At 44.3% G+C, this 5,304-nt stretch overlaps 1 annotated feature.

Annotated features, from left to right (window-relative positions):
- Positions 2,979-3,609: an enhancer, noted in NCBI's record as "OCT4-NANOG-H3K27ac hESC enhancer chr15:97420533-97421163 (GRCh37/hg19 assembly coordinates)". NCBI's record gives its function as "activates a minimal SCP1, AML or CMV promoter by ChIP-STARR-seq in primed H9 embryonic stem cells {active_cell/tissue: H9 hESC(primed)}" and the evidence as "EXISTENCE:reporter gene assay evidence [ECO:0000049][PMID:30033119]".

The raw sequence follows: 5,304 nt of genomic DNA, 5'->3' as shown, positions 1-5,304 counted from the left end.
GACACATATGGAGAGTGGGCTCAAAATGAACACTCAAAAATATTAGGACCACTTCTTTCCATTAACTAAAATTCCATGTATCCATCAAACCCTATATTGTGTGAAAGCATGTGTAATCTAGACATGTTTAAGTAAATGTTCTTGGACTGCAGACATAGGTTCAAAGAATTTTGGCCGATTTAAGCTTCCTTGGTTTAAAATTTCCCAGAGGTGTGGATGCCATTCAGCAAGTGGGAGTTCACTCAGCCATCTTCTTTCTGCCAATGGAGAGTTGTTTTTTCAGAAAGAAAGAAAACTCCTTTATTCTCTCCCTTTGGAAACAGCTGGAGTAGCCCCCCCAAATAATGCATGATTACAAATCTGGCACCAGGCAAGTATTGGCAAGACTTTGGTTAAATCTGCCACTATTTGTGTCAACAAATGTTGCCAGGTAAGTGGCAAAGAAGGTTGGCACGCCTGTGCCAGGGGATAGCAGGGAAAGCAGCTGCTATATTGAATATGTTGACTAAGAGGAAGCAGAGCTTTATCATGGGAAATGGATTGTTTCTAAAATAATGAAAGGTGCTTTGGTTGCTAAAGCAATTATACAAAAACTATTCCTTAAGAAAAATTGTTAACTTCTTTTTAAAAATGCCAGAAAGTTGGAGTTAGTAAAATAAAGAGAAGACAAAAAGATGCAACAAACACATTGAAAAGCAGGCAGTTGTTCACTAAGAAATCAAAATCCCTGTTCAGTGTCCAGAAGTGGAGGGATTTAATGGGTCCACATTGAAAATACTACCAAGTACATATCACACTGCTTCGTGATCTCCATTTCCAATGAGCTGGACCTAAAGAATTGGAGGTTTATTAAATGATTTTCTTCACAGAGAACACTCATTCAAAGGATGTCTATTTGACAAATACATGAGTGGCAAGTGTTTGACAGACGTGATCACAGTCAGGTTACAGATAGTATGGTGTCCTTGTGTTTCAGGATCACAATTTACCAAGAAATATGGATCATGCAAATGGTCCTTAAATAAAATTAAACATACATACATACACTTGTATGGTTTATCTTGGTGTTTTACTCCACGCACGTAAAGACCAGACTCCCAACAAGAGTATATCTAATTTAGTCGTTTCCAAATATTTCATTTACTCCAGTGCAAAAAAAAAGTATTGTAGGAGGCTTCGATCGTTCTTTTTCTACATTCTAAGGGTTGGCAAAAATTTTCTGTTAAAAAGCCAGGTAGTGCATATTTTAGAAGTTTCAGGCCATGTGGTCTCTGTTGCAACTACTCAGTTTTCGGTGAATGCAGTCATAGACAATGCATAAACTTATAGGTCTGGCTGCATTCCTACAGCATTTTATTTACAAAAACAGGTAGAAGGCAGGAAAATTTAATCTGCTAGGCATAGTTTGCTGACCTTTGCTGTATAGGTAGGGACCTCCTGAAATGTTCTCTGCTAAGATGGAACTTTCGACAAAACTGCATCTACTAGCTTTCTATTCCAGTATTCATTATCCACACTCTCCTATTTCATGGGCTTTTGGTGAGGAGGGAAAATGAGCAGTATGTTTCTTTCCTCTCATTCACTACTTCAATGAACAAAAAAATTCATATTGGCATTTAAATTTTCACAAGGTCTAATGAAAAATGCATCATACATCCTACAACATACGTTGACCTGCTGAATGGCTAACAGAATACTCCATTTGAGACTTTACTGCAGAGCAGCACGATCAATGAGAGAAAGAAAAAAGAAGGGACCCAAGCAAGCAAACATGAAGAAGCCAAGGGGAAGAGAGAAAGAGAAGCAAAGAAACAGCTTAGGTGAAAAATCATTCTGACCTCTCATAGGTCAAATGCTTACTGGAGAATAGATCTCATATTGACCCTCGGTAAAATATAATAGTGGAGGGACCTTTCTTGGAATATGAGGTAGAGAAGCTCTGAGATGGCCTCACTGTTTAAAGATTTCTGGAGACGGACAAGCTTACAAGAATGCATCCCCCATCTCACAATGCATCTTTCACTGCTCTAGGTTCTGAATCACTGCAAGCCTGAAGCTTGCTTGTTGCATACGGTGGAAATAAAGAGATGATGAAAACTTCATGAATCGTGCAGCTTATTGCCAAACAAAGGGATTTTTCTTCTAGGTTCACAGTGCTTAATGAGAAGGAGAATAACACGAAGAAATCCTACAAGGAATACACTCAGTAAATGAGGAACACCAACGACATAGTGAGGGAGTTCCAAAATTATTAAGGTCTAGTTGCTCAATTAGGAAGGCCACAGGCCTCTGTGGAAAGTGAATTCTAATTAAAGATTGAGGTGTACCTTTACAGCAGTGGTTCTCAGGAGAAGCTGGCTTGACCACCACAGCTAGGACCCCTAAAGTCTTCATGCCAGAGATCAGTGCCGGTGGTGGTAGGCGAGGCTTCAGGGCCCCTAGGTCTGCCACAGCCTGAGTTCTGGTGTTCTGAGAAGTGACTGGCCCACAGAGTGTAGTAGCCCTGCCATGAACTGATCTCTCAAAGGGCCTGTCAAACTCTTAAATATGTATGTATTTTGAAATCCACTAGTTGAGGTCAGTAGCTCACACACATGGGAGTGTCTGATAAGGTGACATTCCCAAGGGGAAGGGGAATTCATTCCAAGTGCTCACTTATGGTGGTGTGATAAGACAATCACTCTCAAAGGAAGTGGGGAGTACACTTTAAAACATCAAACAGCATTTTGTAAACAAATCAAAGCTACATAACAATGCCACAGTTACTATACACTGCAGGGCAGGACTGGCATAATTAAAGGCTTATCATGACAGGCAGGATAGAAAGCCTGGTGACGTAGCCCCAGAAGTCCACGAAGGCAAAGTTTGTCCCAAATAGTCTGACAAAACAGCAGCCGGTGGGTATCGCAGGGTGATCCCCACAAAGAGGTAGGGACCAATAAAGAAAAATCATCATGATGTCCAGGGCTGGTTCACTCAGTAGCACAGGACGTTTACACAGATGAGGAAGGCAATCCTCACGTGGCCACAGTTGAGTGTTTTGGCTAAAAGTAAAAGCCAGCTTTTACCCATTTCATTAGAATAAAGATACATTTCCTCTTCCTCCTCTCTTACGCCAATGTGCTATTTACAGGAAGGAAAACACTGAATTCTACAAGTGGCCTCAGTTCAAAAGTACCAGAGAAAATGGCAATACTTTCAAAGCAGAGAAACACAGGTGAACCTGAAAACTGGAAGCTATGGATATCAGGCCTCTGAGCCCAAGCCAAGCCATCGCATCCCCTGTGACCTGCACGTATGCGCCCAGATGGCCTGAAGTAACTAAAGAATCACAAAAGAAGTGAATATGCCCTGCCCCACCTTAACTGATGACATTCCACGCCAAAAGAACTGTAAATGGCCGGTCCTTGCCTTAACTGATGACATTACCTTGTGAAAGTCCTTTTCCTGGCTCATCCTGGCTCAAAAAGCTCCCCCACTGAGCACCTTGCGACCCCCACTCCTACCTGCCAGAGAACAAACCCCCTTTGACTGTAATTTTCCTTTACCTACCCAAATCCTATAAAACGGCCCCACCCTTATCTCCCTTCGCTGACTCTCTTTTCGGACTCAGCCCGCCTGCACCCAGGTGAAATAAACAGCCATGTTGCTCACACAAAGCCTGTTTGGTGGTCTCTTCACATGGACGCACATGAAATTTGGTGCCGTGACTCGGATCGGGGGACCTCCCTTGGGAGATCAAGCCCCTGTACTCCTGTTCTTTGCTCCGTGAGAAAGATCCACCTATGACCTCAGGTCCTCAGACCGACCAGCCCAAGGAACATCTCACCAATTTTAAATCAGGTAAGCGGCCTCTTCTTACTCTCTTCTCCAACCTCTCTCACTGTCCCTCAACCACTTTCTCCTTTCCACTCTTCAATCTCTCCCTTCTCTTAATTTCAATTCCTTTCATTTTCTGGTAGAGACAAAAGAGACATGTTTTATCCGTGAACCCAAAACTCCGGCGCCGGTCACGGACTGGGAAGGCAGCCTTCCCTTGGTGTTTAATCATTGCAGGGACGCCTCTCTGATGATACACTCACGTTTCAAGGGTGTCAGACCATGCAGGAACGCCTGCCTTGGTCTTTCACCCTTAGCGGCAAGTCCCGCTTTCCTGGGGCAGGGGCAAGTACCCCTCAACCCCTTCTCCTTCACCCTTAGCGGCAAGTCCCGCTTTCCTGGGGCAGGGGCAAGTACCCCTCAACCCCTTCTCCTTCACCCTTAGCGGCAAGTCCCGCTTTCCTAGGGGGCAAGAACCCCCAATCGCTTATTTCCGCACCCCAACCTCTTATCTCTGTGCCCCAATTGCTTATTTCCGCACCCCAACCTCTTATCTCTGCACCCCAATCACTTATTTCTGCACCCCAACCTCTTATCTCTGCGCCCCAATCACTTATTTCCGCACCCCAACCTCTTATCTCTGCACCCCAATCCCTTATTTCCACACCCTGACCTCTTATCTCTGTGCCCCAATCCCTTATTTCCGTGTCCCAACCCTTTCTCTGCTTTTCTGGAGGGGAAGAAACCCCCACCCCTTCTCCGTGTCTCTACTCTTTTCTCTGGGCTTGCCTCCTTCACTATGGGCAAGCTTCCACCTTCCATTCCTCTTTCTTCTCCCTTAGCCTGTATTCTTAAGAACTTAAAACCTCTTCAATTCTCACCTGACCTAAAATCTAAGCGTCTTATTTCTTCTGCAATGCCGCTTGACCCCAATACAAACTCAACAGTGGTTCCAAATAGCCAGAAAACGGCACTTTCAATTTTTCCATCCTACAAGATCTAAATAATTCTTGTAAAATGGGCAAATGGTCTGAGGTGCCTGACGTCCAGGCATTCTTTTACACATCAGTCCCTTCCTAGTCTCTGTGCCCAGTGCAACTCGTCCCAAATCTTCCTTCTTTCCCTCCCGCCTGTCCCCTCAGTACCAACCTCAAGCGTCACTGAGTCTTTCTAATCTTCCTTTTCTACAGACCCATCTGACCTCTCCCCTCCTCGACAGGCCTAGCTAGGTCCCAATTCTTCCACAGCCTCCGCTCCTCCACCCTATAATCTTTTTATCGCCTCCCCTCCTCACACCGGGTCTGGCTTACAGTTTCATTCCGTGACTAGCCCTCCCCCACCTGCCAGCAATTTATTCTTAAAAAGGTGGCTGGAGCTAAAGGCAGAGTCAAGGTTAATGCTCCTTTTTCTTTATCCCAAATCAGATAGCGTTTAGGCTCTTTTTCATCAAATATAAAAATCCAGCCCAGTTCATGGCTCGTTCGG

This window comes from Homo sapiens, chromosome 15 (genome assembly GCF_000001405.40).
Source record: "Homo sapiens chromosome 15, GRCh38.p14 Primary Assembly".
Taxonomy (NCBI): Eukaryota; Metazoa; Chordata; class Mammalia; order Primates; family Hominidae; genus Homo; species Homo sapiens.
Note: the sequence above shows the minus strand (reverse complement) of the source record. Positions and strands in the feature narration are given on the sequence as shown.